Here is a 20,296-nt window from a genome sequence, read left to right on the forward strand (position 1 = left end):
CCAAAAACCTTTATAAAAATTTAGAGACAGTGCTCGCTTCAGCAGCATATATACTAAAACTGGAACAATACAGAGAAGATTAGCATGACCCATGTGTAATTTTTATATATTAAAGTATTTAAAAAATTTAAACACGAATAACAATCTGAAAAAAAATTTGCAATAAATGTGATCCAACCTAGTATAAATATCCTTAATAAGGATCTCATAAATTTGTCAGCTGGGCGCAGTGGCTTGCGCCTGTAATCCTAGCACTTTGCAGGGACCAGGCAGGTAGATCACCAGGAGTTCTTGCCTTCTGCTGGGGATGAAGCTGAAGCTGAAGCTGTCTGCAGCCATGCTCCCTCCATGGGGAAAGGTCATCCACAATAGGAAAGAATGAGGCAAGGAGAAGCAAAGACAAGTCAAGAGGAAAACATTCAAAAGGGAACAAGGACAGAAGGCCTAGCTATGTTCAGTTTCTGTTGAGTTTCCTAACACTTTTCCTTCAGTTCTCTGTACTACCCTAACATCCTTCCTAGATAGACAAACTAATAAATTCCTCATTACGCTAAATCAGCTTGAGTTGTTTCTGTCCCTTACAATTGAAAAACTCCTAATATATCAACCTAACCATATCTGTTTACTGCCCTGAGTTCCAAACTTGTCATTAAATGACTGGAAGGCAAAACAGACTGAAGTTACACACTCTAACCTTGCAGTCAAGAGGAAATGGTCTTTTGCTCCCCAATTCTAGAGCTTCATATAGCTGCAAGTCCACATCTGTGACGTAGCGCTCAGCACCTAGGGCCTGCCTTTCCTCTGTGGGACTGCTATCAGAAGTCACGCATGGATTGCAAGAGTTAGTCTCACTCCAGCATTTCCCACACAGCACCGCTTCTCTGAGTTATTTATAAATGCAATGCAAAAATAAAGAGTCAGGATTCTTGGAAAAAACTGAATAGAATAATATCCACTAATAACTTACTAGTTCACTTACTATATACTTTTAGAGACAATTTTATGAATAAGGTACCATTACTAGCCTATTTTATAAACAAGGAAACCAAGATGTAAAGACATTAAATATCTTGCCCAAAGTCTCACATCCACATACGGAACCCAGCCAGAATGAAATCTACATGTCTGATTTGATAGCTCATGTTCGTAACCACTATGCCATTTTTTTGTTTAATAGAGATGAGGTCTCATTATGTTACCTGGTCTCGAACTCCTGAGCTCAAAGGATACTTCTTGCTGCAGCCTCCCAAAGTACTGGGATTGCAGGCATGAGCCACTGTGCTGGGCTCTACGCCGTTCTTTTCAAAGTTTCCTTTACTGCAGGACTTCTCAGGGACTTTAACGTAACACGTGTTCTGTGAAATGTCCATATGCAATCTATAATATTTCCCAAATGTATCTGTCCAGAAAACTTTTTTTTTAACGAAACATCTTGCGGCACACGTTTCTCATAGGACATACTTTGAGACTATTTGCCTCCTCGGTTTCTCAGAAAGAATCGCTAAATAGTCTTGGCCAGAAATGCAATGGAAAGTGGCAGAGAAAACTTTCCGTTAGTCCCATATTGAATTATCACCACCTGCATCTATGGGCTTGTCTCCAGGAAAGTAGCCCAATTCTTTTGAGTAACTCTTTCCAATTCAGAGAACAGTAAAACTTCTATTAACTGCAACTTCTACTGTGCAAAGCAACGGAAGATAAAACAGTAAAAGAAACAGAATACTTGTATTTGTGATCATTTGAACATCTCACTTCCTGCTTTAAATCTGTGGTGACTTGGGACCTCTAGGATATAAACTTTTCACAGCCTGCATCCAGGTACCACCGGTGCATCCTCCCCCACCCAACGAGTCCCTGCTCCCCAAACCCCAGGCACATCCAATGGCTCTGTAAGTCTGACATGGAAAACTGGTTCTACCTTAAGACTGCCAATGGTCCATTTGCGGCACCTGCTGGTGGCAATGCGTAAAGGAACCCCCCAGACTAAATCAGGATCATCCCCCAGCCAGCTATGGTCTGGGTAAAGAACTAGAGAACTTGAGACCAACGTTTGCTATCTCTTCCCTCTTCATAAATGGCTTGCCATTTCCTGAGCCTGCTAAGGTCCTTTTGTGTCCAGAATTGGTGCGTTCTCGGTCTCACTGCCTTTAAGAATGAAGCAGCGAACTGTCGCGGTGTTTCAGTTCTTAAAGATGGTGTGTCCAGAGTTTGTTCCTTCAGATGTTCAGATGCGTCCGGAGTTTCTTCTGGGGGGTTCGTGGTCTCCCTGACTTCAGGAGTGATACCGCAGACTTTCACCGTTAGTGTTACAGCTCTTAAAGGTGGCGCGTCCGGAGTTGTTTCTTCCTCCCGGTGGGTTCGTGGTCTCGCTGGCTTCAAGAGTGAATAGCGAAGCTGCAAACCTTCGCGGTGAGTGCTACAGCTCATAAAGGTAACACGGACCCAAATAATAAGCAGCAGCAAGATTTATTGCGAGCAGTGAAAAAAAAACAAAGATTCCACAGCGTGGAAGGGGACCCAGGTTGCTGCTACTGGCTCAGGTGACCTGCGTTTATTCCCTTATCTGGCCCCACCCACACATCCTGCTGATTGGTTCATTTTACAGAGAGCTGATTGGGCCGTTTTACAGAGCGTTCATTTGTCTGTTTTGACATTGTGCTGACTGGCGTGTTTACAAACCTTTAGCTAGACACAGAGTGCTGATTGGTGTATTTACAATCCTTTAGCGAGACACAAAAGTTCTCCAAGTCCCCACCCAACCCAGAAGCCCAGTCGGCTCCACCTCTCGCTTTCACCCTGTCTTTGTTCAGAATGTTCTCTCTACCTCCAATGTCCTTTCCTTCCCTTGGGTCTGCTTCAAAAATTCCCATCTAGATTTCAGTGCCAATCTCATGCACCAGTTTCTCTTAAAGATCTCCCTGACCTCACGGCCTCCCGTGCTAGAAGTAACTGCCCTGAATCTGTCTTCTTAGGCGCTTACAGTGACCTACCAGAGCACTTTTCCACACCTTATCCTATTTGTTTATATGAGTTCTCTGAGGGTAGGACTCATATCTTACTCATCTCTGTTGTTCCAGACCTGATCAGACAGCATGGTAAAGAGCAACTCAATATTTTCCAGACAAGTGAATGAATAAATGAACCACTCTTTCCTTAAAACCAAATTCAAAGATTAAAATTACAAATGTGAAGGATTACTCAAGCCAGTGATGCATTTTTAAAATCCAGAATTCCTTGCACAGAAAACCTTCCGGCATTTCTTCAAGCAGCAGCTATTCATTTGTTCCCACTGGACAGAAATAGAAAGGGAGCTGCTGAGAGGTGAGAGGAGGGCCTATTCCAGATTCCTTTTCCTCCTGGAAAAATTCTTTCAAAAACAAGATGAGACCTGAGCTGAGCCACTCACTCTCTTCCCTTCACTCCAAGCTCTCTTGCGCTTTGGGAATCAGCATTTCAACTGGAAAGTTCATCATTTTGCAAACTAATGCACACACTTCCTCCCTTGTTCTGGTTTTCTGGATATTTGCTTTTCAAATTCCTTTTCAGCTGTTGTAATGCCAGTGGCTGCTCCCTTCCTCCCAGCAAGCCTGTCACTCGGTGATGTGTGCAGACAGTCCCCAGTGGAGGAGGCAAGGCTCGAGCCCAGTTCCCTATCGCAGAAACCAGACTCGAAGCCACAGGAAGTGCTGGAGCATTTCCACCATCCTGTGAGCCAAACATTCAAAGTTTCCAAACCTGCTGATCAAAAAACAATATGTGAAACTTCTTTCTTGGGCCTCTCTCCAGCAACAGCAGAGCTCTAACTACCACCCCTAGAACATTTGATTGCATCAGATTACCAGCGAAGGCCCCTGCAGAACTCTGGGCTGTGCCTCCACTGGGTTTCACCTGACAACCCTCGTACACAGAATTAGTCATTCTGATGCATAATGCAATGCCGCATAGCCGCCTCTCACGGAATACCATTAGGCTCTTTCTCCCGGCCTGACGTCCTTATTCCCAGAGGAGCACAGACTTTTATGAGGGCTCTGGGGTCAGTTGTTGGCCTGGGTGTTAATCCTGGTTCACCCACATTGAAAACGCTGTGACTCTGGACAAATTACACAACATGTGACCCTCAGTATCCTCATCTGTGAAACTGGAATGACAGAGGTACCTTTCTCATGGGATTATTATGAAGATAAAATATCTATAAAGCAATTAGAGTAGTGCCTGACCTGGGATTATCATTTGCCAGACATGGGGTAGCTGGATAAATGAAACTGAGGAAACACATCTGTAGTCCAGTCTCATGAAACACACAGAAGCCACACTGCATGAGAATTCCTTTTGCTGTAAGCATCATAACCGAATTGGACAAAGAGCTATGGCACTAGAAAGGAAATAATAACTTTGCTTTAAGTTCAGGGAGTTTTTAGATTTGAAGTTTTGAGGGCATAGAAAAGATTCTAGGTGAACGATTGTGTTGACAGAAATCGGAGGGGGGAAAGTTAGGGTAAGATTCTGGAAGGATTGACCTACATTTGCAAAGGCAGGAAGTCACAGAGAATTGCCTGAGCAGATGCCCTGATGGAAAATAAGAGAACCATTTTCCCTCCTGACCACAGGTCTAGTCCTCCAGGAAAGTTCTCTGAGAACACAAAGGTGACCAGGACTCAACTTGTTCTAAATCCTTTCTCCGCAAGGAGAAATGGATGTCATCTTGAGTTATGAGGTGGCTGAGTGCTTTAAGAAGGCTCACAGGGGAGCTTCTGCACAGAGGGGGATCTGCCCCACTATTACTGCACATCTTCACCAACTGTATGTTCTTCCAGCCTTGCAGAGTGACATCTGTCCTTTTCTGTCTGATCCTCCCAGCAACTAGACAGAGGGTAGTGTTAGGGCTTAGAAAACAATCAATACCCCAAAGTATGGAGCTTTGGCATGCTGAGTACTCTGAACTAAAGAAGACTGGAAGGTCTCAGAACCAAGGTCTCTCTGACCTCTACTGCTCTCCTTTCTCCCATCTCTCTTTCCCCACTGAAGCAACTCATAAAAAACAAAATTCCATGGTGTCTATGTGCCACATTTTCTTTATCTAGTCTATCATTGATGGGCATTTGGGTTGGTACCAAGTCTTTGTTATTGTGAACAGTGCTACAATAAACATACACGTGCATGTGTCTTTATAGTAGATTGATTTATAGTCCTTTGGGTATATACTCAGTAATGGGATCGCTGGGTCAAATGATATTTCTGGCTCCAGATCCTTGACGAATCACCATACTGTCTTCCACAGTGGTTGAACTAATTTACACTCCCACCAACAGTGTAAAAGCATTCCTATTTCTCCAAAGAATGAGTTCATGTCCTTTACAGGGACATGGATGAAGCTGGAAACCATTATTCTCAGCAAACTAACACAGGAACAGAAAACCAAACACCCCATGTTCTCACTCATAAGTGGGAGTTGAACAATGAGAACACATGGACACAGGGAGGGGAACATCACACACCGGGGCCCGTGTGATAGGGGAGGGATGGAATTACGAGAAATACCTAATATAGATGACAGGTTGATGGGAGCAGCAAACCACCATGGCATGTGTATACCTGTGTAACAAACCTGCACATTCTGCACATGTATCCCAGAACTTAAAGTATAATTAAAAAAAAAAAAGAAAAGAAAAATGATCAATGGATAGGAAGACAAATTCACAAAATCCTTTAAGCATTTCTTAATAAAAGCATAATAAATAAATAAAAAAATCCTCTTCCACAAAGTGGGTCATAGAAACTAGAACCTATCTCCACCAAAGTAAACCATGAAACCTAGGAAGGTCACTCTCTTCCTTCTTCCTTCTCCCCAAAGACCCTCTTTCCAGAGGAGTCCTGCCCTATATCCAGGAGGAAGACATGCTACACAGACAGACCAATAAGAATCTGAACCAACAGCCCTTGCTGAGGTTCCTCCTCAGTCATACTGCCATTAGGTCACACCCTTTGTCCAATCATAGTTCTATATGGCTGTCCATTCTTTATCAAGCCTAAACATAAGAATAGTTATGGGGCTTTGGGTCTTTGTTTCTGGGGCTTTGGGTCTTCATTTCTGGGGCTTTTGGTCTTCGTTTCTAAAGGCTCCCATGTTATATAAAACTTATATTAAATAAATGTGTTATGCTTTTCGCTTGCTAACCTGTCTTTGGTTTCAGGAGTGTCAACAGTGGCCCATATGATGGTTGAACACAGGTATCACACCCTTCCCTGCTATAGTAGGCATAATCCACCTGGGGCCTAATGAGCTTTGCTGGCGAGACCTCAGCCCAGCTGCCCCCCAGAAGCTGTGGTTTTAGTGGAGACTAAGACATAATGATTACTCAGCTTCATTCCTAGGGTTGTCTTATCATGGCTCTAAACAGCAGAACCTCAGAATGTTTCTCAGGAAAGATGCAGTTAAAAAACAAATTTCCCCCATTTTCAGTGCTGTAGATATTTTATCTCTCTAGTTATTAGCCACAAACCTACCCTCACTAGTAAGACAAACAAACCTATAGATTTTTTCCTTCTCATCTCTTTCACTTTAGGAGGCTCTGCCAAAACTCCCTGGATTTTATGATAAAATCTCTTCCTTCTAGTTTTTATCTGAGCTGCCTCACATGTTTGCTGCAGTTTGGTTTAAGATAAAACACAGTCAGGGTACATGCTATCAGCATGGCCATACGGCCATACTGTGAGAGCTTTTCACACAAACATCAAGATGACAGTGGAGCCAGTGGGCCATGCTTAAGAACAAAAAGACTTGTTCCTGCTCAAATGCATAGATAAATAAGATCTGAGGTGCTGAATGGCAGTCTGTGGTGCATATTTGGGGGGAAAGTGGTCTGTGGTTCTATTCTGAAAGCCAATATTATTGATTACATCCTAGGGTTGCTGATCTGCTCACTGGTATCCCAGGGCATTCTGAATGAATTGTTTTTTTAATGCTCATTTTCCCCTCAAGTTAGCATGGGCAGAGAGCTTCCCCACAGCCTGTCTGTACTCCCTGGGAAATTACCAGATTAAAAGCTGGTAAGAGGAAAATAGAGAAACTTCCAACCCTGTGTTGGCAGTTTGCTAATTTCATACTTCTGAAAATTTACTTTGATTTCTCCTCTAGCCTCCATTAACAGTATACTGATAATTTCAAATGCTTTGTATCTGCATTCAGTTCTAGCAAACTTGAAACTCAACCTGCTAATAATATCCACTTTGACAAGGACTCTATTGTGCCAAAACCAAACTAATGACAATAAAAACAAGTACACAAATACAGACACACAAATCCCTAGCTAGACTGATGAAGGCAATTGTGAAAAAAATTAGAGAAGGCCATCTTGCATCTTATTGCCCAGAAAAATACCAGATATTATAAACCCATCTGGAACACTTGAGTTCTGCTGACAGGTCTGGTAATGGGTACAGATTCTGGGGCCTAGTTATCTGAGGTGTGAATTTGATGAGAAAGGTCAAAGAAAACCAGATTCCACTGGACACCTAAAAAATCTTACTTTTCTCAGCCTTTCAAATCTTACTTTTCTCGGCCTTGATTTGAAACTCCTACAAACTTTATAGAGGAAATATGGGGAAAAAAAAGAGAACAGGCTTTGGAGGCAGACAGACCTGGACTGGAATGTAAAAGCAGGTAATGTGTTAAGCCCGGGCACAAGCTGACCAGATTTGCATTTTACCTTTGCCTACATGAAGAACAGACTGGCATGGGGCAAGGATGACGGGGTAGGTTGGTAAGAAAGTGACTGATGGCAGTGACTTGGGCTGGAGTGGTCGTGGAGACAGAAAAGGTGATGGATTTATAAGCTATTTAAAAAATCAAAACAATTGATAATAGACAAACAGGGAGAAGCTGGAGTCATTGACGAACCAGGATTATGGCTTCTATAACAGAATAGGTGGTGATGTCATTTACTGAGATAGGACTACTCCAAATAGAAGATGGACTCTCTGCCAATTTGTTGACCTGTATCAAGGCAATGGGTGTAGAGACTCATCTGGAGGAACCAGTGGTAAAGTCCAAGCCGTCAGTGCCAAATACAGCCTTCCTACTCCTTCCTTGCAGGACTATCTGCTTTACTGCAGATTACATCTAAAAATGCACAGCCATTTTCTCCTAATAAGCAGGAAGGCAGCAGAATACAGCAGTTAACAACCACTGATTGGACTCTGACTGTCTGTATTCTAATCCTAGTTTCACTACCTCCTAGCCTTGTGGCTTTGGGAAAATTCCTCTCTGTGCCTCAGTTTACTCATCTGTAAAATGGAGCAAACCACAGTACCTATGTCAACAATTTCTTAGGATGAGTACTAAAATGACAGTAATAGCCAACACACCTATATAACTTACCCTGTGCCAGGTACCCTATTAAAGAGTGTACATAGATTAACACATTCAGTCCTCACAACAGCCCCGTGACAAAGGCGCTATCATAATCCCCACCCTAAACATGGGTAGATGGAGTCACTGAGGAAACTGGTCACTTATTTGGCTAGTCAGCAATCTAGCCCATCCGAAGGCAGTGTTCTGAACCATTACCCTAAACTTCCTTGGACCTTAATATGCACAAGGCTTAGAACAGTGCCCGGCACCGAGTAAGAGCGTGGCACATTATCCCTGACTCTGAAAGCCAAATCCAGGCTGGTTCACAGGGAAGAAAAAGGCTTTATGCACTTTTCCATTATTGATCACGGTCACACCTTTTCACTTTGTACTTGTGTAATACTGACTGCGACACGGTGAACTTGCTTCTGACTTTGAGTCTGTGGACAGGAATCAGTTATGGCCTGAGATTTTCAAGCTCCACAGAGACTCCATTTTTGATGCTGTGATAGAAGCTGCAACTTGATACTACCTCTGAGAGTCAGCTCTGCGGAAAAATACCCCTGGCTCGGATCATAATTTCCGTTCTGGTAAAACGGGGATCTTTTCATGACCTCTAAGCTTTTACCTTTTCACTTCATGAATGGATAAACTTTGTGTGAGTTGAATATACTCTCCCTCCCCTTAGAGAAAGAACAGAGAGATTCTTTTATAAGCAGATAAGGTGATTTTATTTCCACTAACAAGGAATAATCTTAATTGACATCTTGCTCTGTCAGAGTACAGCCTCAGAACAAGTACTCAAAACTGAAAGAATCACTTTTTGGTAACAGGCCCCAGCATTTAATGAGCTTATTATGGCAAAGAACCTAAATAGCAAATCAATTCACTTAGGTGCAAGAGAGTTCACTGGGAAGTAACACGGCTTAAAATGAAAGTTTATGAAACTTAACTGAAATTTTAAAAAAAAAAAAAAACACCAAGGTCGACATTTCAAACATCTACATAAAGTTTTTCCAGGTAAAAATTAGCTCAGCCACACACTTAAAAGACAAAACTCTAGGGGTCCAACAGATGCATAACTTTTTAGAGAAAAATCCAGAATCTGCCTGTGGGTAGTCCTCGGTATACCCAGGAAGAGCTAAAGTGGCTGCCTATTCAGAGGTGAGATTAAATTAGGCTTCTCACATTTCAAAGATTTCAACCCAATACTCAGCCCAACTGAGTAGTAAGGCCTGTGTGGTTTTCAGTAACTGCAAAGTGTAAAGAGAAATTGCGCTCTGCCCCCTTATCAGTAAGTCTAACACTGAATTAACTGCCATCTACAAAGGTGGTGTCTACATTGTTCTCAGGAAAATTTTATAAAAACCTTAAGATTAAAGAATAGAAAATAGTTTAATAATATATGGCAAAACTATGAGAATAAGAGTCATGTAAAAAATTCACATTAAAATATGAGTGACACTGGACAATATTCACAACATTTTCAATGATTCATTTACATCCATTGACATTTGAATATTAATAAGTATTTACTTCAGTACACACTCATTATGATGATAAAAACTTAGAACAACTAGAATTCTCACACATTGCTGATAAATAGTAAGACTTTGAAAAACAGTTTGGTACATTTTTAAAAATATTAAGTACATATTTATCATATGACACAGCAATTCTACTCTTAGGGATTTACCTAAGAGAAATGAAAACAAAGATAGGTGTATGAATGTTCATAACAACTTTATTCATAAAAGCCAAAAGCTCAAAACAACTCAAATGTCCATCAATCGATGAATAAACAAAACGTCATCCATACAATGGAAGACTACTCAGCAATAAAAAAGAATAAACTGCTGATACATGTAACAATAGAAGTAAATCCGGAGTGAATTATGCTGCATCAGATATTGGCACACTCTAGCTTATGGGCCAAATCCGGCCCTCTCCCTATTTTTGTAGTCAAAGTTTTATTGGAACAAAGCTACACCCATTCAGTACACATTTCATACTACCAACAGCAGAGCTGAGTAGGTAGATCCTACAAAGACCATCCCGCCTGTAAGCCTAAAATATTTACCATCTGAGTCTTTACAGAAAATGTATACCAATCTCTACGCTAAATAAAAGAAGTCAGTTATAAAAGACAACATACTATATGATTCCATTTCTAGAAAATTCTAGAAAAGGCAAAATTACATTGATAGCATGTCATCCGGGCACAGTGGCTCAAGCCCGTAATCCCAGCACTTTGGGAGGCCAAGGCCGGCGGATGGCTTGAGCTCAGGAGTTCGAGACCAGCCTGGGCAACACAGGGAAACCCTGTTTCTATAAAAAAGACAAAAAAATTAACCAGGCGTGGTAGCACGCACCTGTAAGTCCCACCTACTTGGGAGGCTGAGGTGGAAGGATCTCTTGAGCCCAGGAGGTGGAGGTTGCAGTGAGCAGAGGTTGCACCACCACACTCCAGCCTGGGAGACAGAGACCCAGTCACACACACAAAAAGAAAGCCTATCAGGGGTTACCAGGGGTGAGGTGGAAGCAGAGTCTGCAAGGGGGCACAAGGGAACTTTTCAGGGTGATGAAACTGGTCTATTTCTCTTATACGAGGTAGCATGAAGAAAATAAAAAATAAAATAAAGCTGTAAAATGGTCTGTTTCTTGACTGTGTTGTGATGGTTACATGACTACATACATTGGTCAGTATCACTAAATGAAAATTGATTTTATTGTACCTCAATAGAAATGTATATGATATATATATATATATAATTTCTCCGTTACATCCTTGTGCCAGGTATTACCAGGTACTACCTCCCACCAGGTATGCTTCTAGGTATTGAGCACAAGACATTGAACACAAAACACAAAGTTTCTGCTCAGATGGTACAGTTATAATATGACAGGGCCACCCACTGTCCCCCAGTGGACATCTGGCATGGGTAAGCCTGTGATAAGCCACTAGCACTTTTAAGATTGCTTGGACCCACGACAGAGTTTAGCCTAGACTAACTAATACAGGGCTCATTTCTGAGTCCTTGTCTTTCTCCAGGCATCGCCTCTAGGTAGTCTCATCCAATCCCATAGATACATTTTAAATGTATATCCTGAACCCAAGCCAACCAACCTTCCTTCATTCCTTCCTTCCTTCTTCCCTCCCTCCCTCAAATAGCCAACTGCCTACTTGACATAGCTACTTAGGTATCTCACAAGCATCTCAAATTTAACATATCAAAAACTGAACTCTTTCCTCCAGAAGCTATTTTTCCTTCAGATTCCTCACATTAGAAAATGGCTTTGTGGTACACCTTTACACCAGATTTCCTGCTTCCCCTCTTCTGAGCACTCTAGGGGACTGCACTTCTAGCCCCCTTGCAGGATAAGGCCACAGCCATACATATGACTCTTGTGGCTAAAGACATGTGAGTGGAAGTGACAGAGGCACTGGAGAGCCAGGTTCTCTCTTCCCTTGCCACAGTGAATTTGGTAGAACGTGTACTGATATGGAAGGCAGACTAAACCATTGAGTTTGAGGACAGCTGCCCTGGAGGGTCACTTGGACTTAGAGCAGATTTTGCAAGACAGCAAACTCTGTTGCAGTAACCTGAAATGTTGAAGATGCTGTTGTCAGAGCATGAACTAGCCTCCTCTGATGACTTCGGGGCCCTCTGACAACTTCAGGGCCCTCTGATGACTTCAGGTGCTTGTGCCAGACCAAGGAGTCCTTCACAGTCCTTCTCCCTCCCCTCCATGTCCAGGCCACCACCAATCCAACTCAACCCTCACAAACATTCCCTAGGCCAAACCAACATTTCCCACCTGGGCTCTTGCAAGAGCCCTTAGATCTATTCTCTACATAGCCACCAAAGTCGAAACCACAAAGACTTTCAAACACCTCCTCTGTTTAAATCCCTTCAATGGCTCCCCACTGCTCTCAAGCTCAAATCCAAAGTCTTTAACATGGCCCGCAAAGGCCTGTGTGATCTAACCAGGGCCCAACTGTCCAGACCTCATCCCGCGCATCCATCCATCTCTCTCTCCCTCACCTCATTCCTCTCTCCTATCCCCATCCCACATCAGTGGCTCCAGCCCTCTCTCAGTTGCCCAAACATGCCAAGCTCCTACGATGAAATGTAGTCTCTCTTCCTCTCCATTTTCCCTTTCTACGCCCAGCTACTTGAAATCACTCTAAAGCACACCTACCTCCTTTCACTTCTCCCCTTTCATTTTTTGCTAGAAGGGGAAAAATAAATCTTGAATGTGCTTGCCTTTGAGTCAGAAGACAAGAGGATAAGCTATGAAGTTAAATTCTCAGAAATCACGTGACCATAAGATCTAAACATTGGTAGAAGTTGAAAGAGAAGGAAGACACCTCCAGGGCTTAGGAATCAGGGTAGAAAAATTAAACCAAGTGACTAGAAAACCAAAGAAGCCAGGGAAGAGTTCAGTAGAAAATCACACCCTAGGCCTAGAAGGACTCTAACCCCCCACAGGCAACACCACCCACTCTCACCCATGCTTCTTCATTTGACTAATGCAAATCCCTCAGGAATCCCTCTCTCAATTCATTTCTGACTAACACTCTGCCAGGGCCTTAGGCCTCTCTGACATAAAGGAGTCCTCTCCCCACAGAAGTCAGACAATACCCCCAACACCATACCCCATACCTGGGCCAATATACAGGCAAAGGCTGACCATGCTGTCAGCAGGCCAAACTTCAATCCTCAATCAGTGTTTACCTCAGAACCAAAGACTCTAAGCAGTTTTCATCTATGCCTTTATTAATATAAAATGAGACTCCAGAGAGACACAGGGGACCCTCCCATGGTTGAGTGTATTCTGCCAAATATGTATTCTGCCAAATATGATGTTAAATCTATGACTAAAATTGTTCCCAGTTTCAGACAACAAGCAAGAATATTGAAACATATTTATTCTTAAACTAGAGATCTCCTGAAGAGTTTTATTCACACTTGATCATTTTTGCTTTCACCTAAATACCTAAATGTTCATCCAATGGGAGAAAGAGACTTCTTCACTTGTTTTCAAAACCTTTAACACATAGGAAAATAACTTGTAGGTTCTAGAAGGCATGCTTTAATGCTTTAATGCTGGCTTAATTTTTTTTTTTTTCAGAATACTTACCTTCTGTAATTAAGATAGGGAAAATTCAACTCAAAACCAAATTTCTTCTTCTTCTCATTTCACCATTTTAAAATTTGGCAAGTTTTGCTTGAGGAAGGAGAGCAAACTCAAGTGCTTTTGTGGATATATCCTGTTTTTCAGGTACCAGACAACTAAGGATATCGGCTTTTCTATTACCATTGATAGAAAGATAACACAAAAAGTGAATCCTATTGAAGGTGGGTCAGAAGTGTCTTCTTAACAAAGCTCAGAATGTTTTTGTAAACTCTTTGTGCCAAGGCACTTGGAACCTGTTAACGATTCCTGGATGATGTCTAAAATGCCATTATATTTGACAGTCGTGAATGACTGTCATAACTTGAAAGGTTAGAAATGCGAGTGGGCTTTTTAGCTTTTATCAAACAGAAAGCTCCTCACCCCCACACGTTTCCATCTGAGCCTGCGGAGAATGGAAATGCAACAGCAGTTTTCCTGTCCATTCCCACCGAATGGAAAATACAGCCATTCCGCCTTACGGAAATAACTTCTAACACCAGGCCACATTTCCACTTTGTGTTTTAAATTCTATGATGTGGTCCTAAATTCTTGCAGCAATCAAAGGCTGTGAAACTTCACAGAGAGAAGGGTCTTTCAAAAGGACACTGGAAAATAAAAGAGGTTGTTTTGCTGAGCACCGATCAATTCCCAGGCTGGCTGCAGGGGATCCTACTGAAGTATGGGCAAGATAAGAGTGGACCCAGGAGCTTCCGAGCTCCACAGAGTCAACCCTGTACCCAAGCTCCCTCTAGTTGGTGTGGGCCAACACCAAAGTCACTGCAGAACAGAACGGGTAGCAGGACACCTGCTCAACAGTGGACCTGAAGAAGCTCTCCCGCTGGAAAAAGCAGAAGAGAAGCCTTCTTCTACCCATCATGGGCAAAGCACCAGCTCTCAAACACCAACTACTCATCTCAGTCATTCTTTCTTATGACCAAAACTTGATTTCAGCCATCATAGAAGTTCAAACCCAGGGTGAAGACAACACAGGAAAAAATGTGGCTTCTGAGGTAAAGTGGGGAGTTGAAGAACTAACCAATGCATTAATCAACGCAGACAATCTGAAAAGTCTTCTTTCCTGAATAGTAGGTTCCTTTCTTTCAGTCACTTAAACAATTATTCCAACTCACTATTTACTTTTTCGAGGCAGAGACATAGTAAAGTATTATCATAAGCGCCATTCTCCCTCTTGTACTGTCGTAGTATCAAATGTGTGCAGTGTTTTTAAGTTTCACAAGTAAGAAAATGTAAAATGGCTAATATGTATTGTAGAACCTACTAAAGAGTACAGCCACTACATTAATAAGAAAATATCTGATAGATGAATGCCCAAGATAAGATTTCACTTCCATTCACCACTTACAGGGACCTCTCCACCAAGGAGGTTCCCAAGTTTATTAAAATGACCTAGAAGTTGTTTCTAAATTCTAAGTTGTTTCTAAAATCACACCATATTCAAAGGGGCTAAAAGATGAGAAAGAAAATTCAGAAAGAATGCTCTGATTTTTGCTCCTCGATTTCTATAGCATGTATTCTTCTACAAGACAAAGGAAGAAACTATCGCCATATCCTTTCGGTGGTCTCAAAAGAATATCCAGCATTTTTTTCTTCAGAGTTAAATTACATTACATAAAGTAAAAATAAAAATTATTATTAATAATCGTTTTATATCAGACTTTAGCATTAACTATTTCTCATATATTAAGAAAACAAACCACCCTTTCAACATGTAAATCACTTCATCACACGTAGGGTCTCTGTGAGGAAGGTCAGCAAATATTGCTGTATAATCTCATTTTATCAACAGGGGATTGAAGCAAAGAAGTTAAGATCCAGTTCAAAATGAGATCCATTCCAATCTCCCAACACCTAGAGTTTAGAACAGGAGCACAAGCAAGACAAAGTTATGGAGTCACACATGAATCATTTACACTTGGTTAAGTTAGATGTTTCTACCTGGAGAAGGAAGTCAGACTGAGAATCTCCCGTCCTCACACAATGAGCCTCTACCACAAAGGAAACTCAATGCTGGCTTATTCCTCTGTAATCTCCCCCCTGTAGCATCACCTCCCAACATGGTGCAGTGAGCCAGGCCAACTTCAGCAATAGCATTCTCCGAACTCCTCTAACGGAGAAAGAGAGATTCTTTATTCATTTCAAAAATATTAACAAGAAGCTTCTTCCCATCAATCACTGAGTTTGGAGATTCTGAGACAAGAGCGAAGCCCAGGATGCGTTCTTATTCCCAGAAATCAGATAACAGACTGATGAATTCTTTGAGAAAGTAAACAAAGATATTATGTGCTACTAAAATATACTTACATAGTTTCATCACATCAATAAAAGCAAAATCTCTCTAATGAGAATGTTGCAAGCCCAGCATTTCCTGGCCTCTGTCTCTTTCTCTGTCCCCTACCAGTTTCTCCTGTCTTGCTCTCTGGTGACCACACCTGACTTCTTCAAGTTCCCCAGACACACCACACTGTCATTCATCTGCTGTTCCTGAACTTCCCGCAGCTGACTTTCTCACTGTATTTGGGACTCAGACCAAAGGTCATCTCCTCAGGGAAGCCTTTCCTAGGTAACCTAATGCCAGTAAAATTGGCACACACACATTCCCAGTAATCCCTCCCTCTCTTTCTCTCTCCCACTCACTCCTTTACTCACCGCATCACTACCTTGCAATGTTACACACCGGTCTATGTGTTTATTGTCCTAATTCCACTCTGGAGTGTAAACTCTATGAGGGCAGGGATGTTTTCTTCACCATTTTACCTGTGGTCACATAGTATGCTATCAATGAATATCTGGCAAGTGAATAAGTGAATGAAGGAAGAAAAGGATCAGAATGGAAGGGCACCATTGATTTCTTAGTTACTTTAAGAAAATTCTTCAGGAGTACAGTGAAAAATAACAGGCTACAGGTACAATTCACTAAGTGTGTGACATGGAAGACTAGAGAAGACTAAGGAAGAAAGAATAGGTTAATTAAGCATAGTGCAAATTGAATATCACCCGTGTGTGGTAGGAAAAACTGGTGGGCATAAGACCAGCCACAGTTATGGAATCAGAATCCTCTAAGTCCCTACCAGAAACAAACAAACAAACAAACAAACAAAAGACACTGGAAACAATAACCCAAATGAGGTAATTTGCATGAAATTATTTTATAGCATATAAAGCAATCAGAAAATAAGTATATAATAAGCATATATTACCTCCTCCTATCTTTCCCTCCCCACTAATATCCATGGCAGACATCGAAAACAATCACGGATAATAAATGTAACTCCTTTCTGCTATCGCCAAACAGGACCAATACACAAGTCAATCATAATTTTTTAAAGCATCTTAGGAACGTAGGCAAATTAGGAATGGCAGAAAGCTTCCTTCCTAAAGGATATCTACAGAAAGTCTATAGCAATCATCATGCTCAACTGTGAGCCATCAAACTTTTCCTTTAAAATCAAAAACAAGGCAAGGAAGTCAAATATCACTGCCTCTATTCAATATTGTACTGGAAATCTCATTCTAAACATTTTAAGAAGGGGGGTGGCAAATTTTTCATTATTCAGATGATATTATTGTCTATCAGAAACTATTAGGATTAATAAGGCTTTATCAAGGTTTCTGAGTATAAATCAATATATTAAAGTGATTAGCATTTCTATACACCAGGAACAAAGCATCAGAAAGAACTATGTCTTAAATATACATTTCATGATAATAATAAAACAAGAAGATAGTGTTGGAGTGCAGAAAATGATTCATCACAATACGGAGCTTTGGCATGCTAAGTGCTTTGAAAAGTGAAAAGCCTCAGAAATAAGCCTCAGAACCAAGGTTTCTCTCTGACCTGCTTCCACCTCCCTGTCTCTGATCTTCTTTCCCAAAGAACCGGGAGGGACTCTCTTTGGAATTTCTTAAGACCCCACTCCCTAGGAATCTCATCAAATAGCCCAAAAAGATCAACCACCCAGGAAAAGAAGATCACCACATCTGGACAGGCTTTTCATCTATTCTCCTAAGGGCAACTCTCATAGATTACCTGGGAGGCTTTATCTGCATAAGATGACCTTTGCTCACAGTGAAGTTCCATCCCTCACCTTCCTGACACCTCCCTCAGAGCTCAGGGGAACTTTGTTACTTATTTGCACATTCTCTGTCTCCTCTCTCCCACATATAGAAGGGTATATAAGCATCTGGACTACATTGGGCTATTGGTAAATCATTCTCATGTGATTCCCTGCATTGTGCACATTAAATACATTGTATGCCTTTCTCTCCTTTTCATTGGCCTTTTGTCAGTATATTTTCAGCAAACCTTCAGGAGATGAAGGGAGAAGCTTTCCCTCTCGGCATTTTACAAGATATTTCTGTATAAAGCAATAAAAGTTATTGAAAAACATTAAAGAACACCAAAATAAACGGATAAACATATAAAGTTTAAGATTAAGAGAGCCCAATATTATAAAGATGTCAACAAGGTTATGTAACATTTATAGTCTGGAGGACTTTCACTCATATGGAAGCTTGATATGTGCCAAAAGTGACAGTGCAGACCAGTGGCTGGGGGAGATGGAAGGGATGAAAATCCCTCATCTGAAATACTTGGGACCAGAAGTGTTTCAGATTTCAGATTCTTTCAGGTTTTGTAGTATTTGCATTATACCTACTGGCTGAGCATCCCTAATCCAAAAATCTGAAATCTGAAATGCTTCCATGAGCGTTTCCTTTGAGTGTCATGTCGGCACTCAAAAAGCTTTGCATCTTGAAGCATTTCAAATTTTGGATTTTCAGATTAGGGATACTCAACCTGTATTTAATAAGTGGCATGGGGACAATGTAGGGGGCAAAATGAAATCAGCCTCTACTTTACAATCCACATTAAACAAAACAATTCCAGAGATTAACTATTTGAATGAAAAAGAAAAACAGACATCTCAGAAAATCTTAGGATACAAGAATATCCTAATAACCAACGGGTAAGAAGGATTTCTTAAGCAAGCTATATATAGCCCAAAATGTAAAAAAAAAAAAAAAGAGACTGACCAATCCATCTACAATATAATTAAGAATTTCTGCTTATCCAAAGGTTTGATAAGAAAAAATATAACAAAAAAATTTTAATAAAAAAATAGAAACCACATATTGAGAGAAGATATCTTCAATGGTGGGGCTCAGAAAACGCCCTGAAATATGGTGCTTTGACATGCTGAACTAATGAAGCAGCCTCAAGGTCTCCCTCTGACGTCTCCCTACTCCTTCTGATCCTCCTTACTATTCGAAGCACCAGGACTGGCTCTCTCTTTAAGTTCCCTTATCTGATTGAGAAAACTTCTAAAAGAAATGCAATTGCCTCAAAACTCCTTCCCTAGGAATCTCATTAAATAACCAGGAAACATTAACCACCAGAGAAGAGACTAGAAGTCTCTATGCTCAGGACACCACGCCCAGTCAGCCTCCGCCTCTGCTCTCCTGAGGGCAATTCCAAGTGAAGACCTGGAAGACTGTTATCTGCATAATAAGACCTTTGTTCACAATGCGGCTCTGCCCTTACCTTCCTGTAACTTGTCTGCAGCTACTATTTATCCTTAGGTCCCATTCAGAGTCCAAAGAGAATCATTTACAAACCACTGGTGTGTTTTTTGGGGCCCATTCATTTACGGCTCTCCACCTCCTTCTCCCCAGTATATTTAAGCATCAACCATCTGGTTCCTTCTTGAGTTTTCATATGTTTTGTATGGCTCCCGTGTTTAAGTACATTAATGAACTTGTTACGTTTTTCTCTTGTTGATCTATATTTTGTTATAAAGGTGTGGGCTATGACTCTTATGATGGGGAGAAAAGGGATCACCCCATTTCTGCCTCTACAGTGACATCGATAATGAACAAAGATTTAGTACACAAAATATATAAAGAACTCCAATGAATCAATATGAAAAGGACAAGCAACCCAAAAGGCATATCCAGGCATTTCATGAAAAAACAAGAAGGTCAATAAACCTATAAAAAGAAGGTCAACCTCATTAGTAATCAGAGGAATGCAGAGACCCCCCGCCAAGCTGACACCATTTTACACCCAAAAGGCTAGAAAATGTATATAATCTGACAGCCCCCAAGTTTTGGCAAGTATGTGGAGCAACAGGAACTTTCATGTACTCCTGGTGAGAATTAAAGTTGGCACAACTACTTTGGAAACAAGTTGGCATTGCCCAGTAAAATTTTAGGTGTGTGTAGCCTTCAACACAGCATCTCCTCTCCTGGGGTATATATCCTGGAAAAACTCTTGCTCATCTACACTAAGAGAGATGGACAAAAATATTTACAACATCCTCCTAATAGCAAGAAAATGGAAACAAACAAATGTCTATCTCTCCTGAGAAAAAATTAACTGTCCCATATTCATAAAATGGAATATACTCTGAAGAATAAAAATGAACTACATCTACATGGGTGAACTACATTCTCATAGTTGAATCTCAGAAACAATGTTAATACTGAACAAGCCACTGAAAAACTTAGAATCATTCCGTTTTTATAAAGTTGCAAAAAAAAATCATTTGTATTTGTGTAACCCTAAAATAAAACAAAGAGATTACTAATAAAATATTCAGAGCAATCTTTACTTGAGTTAGGGAAGAGAATGGGATCCACGCTTGAAAAGTATTGCTAGCATTCTATTTCTTAGGCTGCATGATGGGTACATGGATCTTCATCTTATAATTCTTCACTAAACAATGCATAGATGTTCTAAAGCATCAT

General features: G+C 41.1%; 1 protein-coding gene and 1 pseudogene across 12 annotated transcripts in view, besides 5 other annotated features; one reads left to right on the forward strand and one right to left on the reverse strand.

Annotated features, from left to right (window-relative positions):
- Window positions 1–20,296, reverse strand: part of ELMO1 (engulfment and cell motility 1) — a 596,421-nt gene that overhangs the window by 498,208 nt on the left and 77,917 nt on the right. Inside the window, exon 1 of one of the 12 annotated variants that reach the window (NM_001206482.2) lies at window positions 1,919–2,527. The exons of 10 other annotated variants lie outside the window; for them this stretch is intronic. The gene's annotated coding sequence lies outside the window, so the exon portion shown is untranslated. Of the gene's footprint in view, window positions 1–1,199; window positions 2,528–20,296 lie in introns of those variants that run through there. One more of the 12 variants, XM_024447008.2, reaches the window with a different exon arrangement.
- RNU6-565P (RNA, U6 small nuclear 565, pseudogene) lies at window positions 30–129 on the forward strand (annotated as a pseudogene).
- Window positions 2,034–2,535: an enhancer, noted in NCBI's record as "H3K4me1 hESC enhancer chr7:37392751-37393252 (GRCh37/hg19 assembly coordinates)". NCBI's record gives its function as "activates a minimal SCP1, AML or CMV promoter by ChIP-STARR-seq in primed H9 embryonic stem cells {active_cell/tissue: H9 hESC(primed)}" and the evidence as "EXISTENCE:reporter gene assay evidence [ECO:0000049][PMID:30033119]".
- Window positions 2,066–2,125: an enhancer, noted in NCBI's record as "active region_25855". NCBI's record gives its function as "activates an Ori minimal core promoter by ATAC-STARR-seq in GM12878 lymphoblastoid cells {active_cell/tissue: GM12878}" and the evidence as "EXISTENCE:reporter gene assay evidence [ECO:0000049][PMID:35858748]".
- Window positions 2,176–2,225: an enhancer, noted in NCBI's record as "active region_25856". NCBI's record gives its function as "activates an Ori minimal core promoter by ATAC-STARR-seq in GM12878 lymphoblastoid cells {active_cell/tissue: GM12878}" and the evidence as "EXISTENCE:reporter gene assay evidence [ECO:0000049][PMID:35858748]".
- Window positions 3,262–4,461: an enhancer, noted in NCBI's record as "BRD4-independent group 4 enhancer chr7:37393979-37395178 (GRCh37/hg19 assembly coordinates)". NCBI's record gives its function as "activates an origin of replication core promoter dependent on BRD2, P300/CBP, MED14 and CDK7 cofactors, and independent of BRD4, by STARR-seq in HCT116 cells {active_cell/tissue: HCT116}" and the evidence as "EXISTENCE:reporter gene assay evidence [ECO:0000049][PMID:35650434]".
- Window positions 3,725–3,874: an enhancer, noted in NCBI's record as "active region_25857". NCBI's record gives its function as "activates an Ori minimal core promoter by ATAC-STARR-seq in GM12878 lymphoblastoid cells {active_cell/tissue: GM12878}" and the evidence as "EXISTENCE:reporter gene assay evidence [ECO:0000049][PMID:35858748]".

This window comes from Homo sapiens, chromosome 7 (assembly GCF_000001405.40).
Source record: "Homo sapiens chromosome 7, GRCh38.p14 Primary Assembly".
NCBI classification, from domain to species: domain Eukaryota; kingdom Metazoa; phylum Chordata; class Mammalia; order Primates; family Hominidae; genus Homo; species Homo sapiens.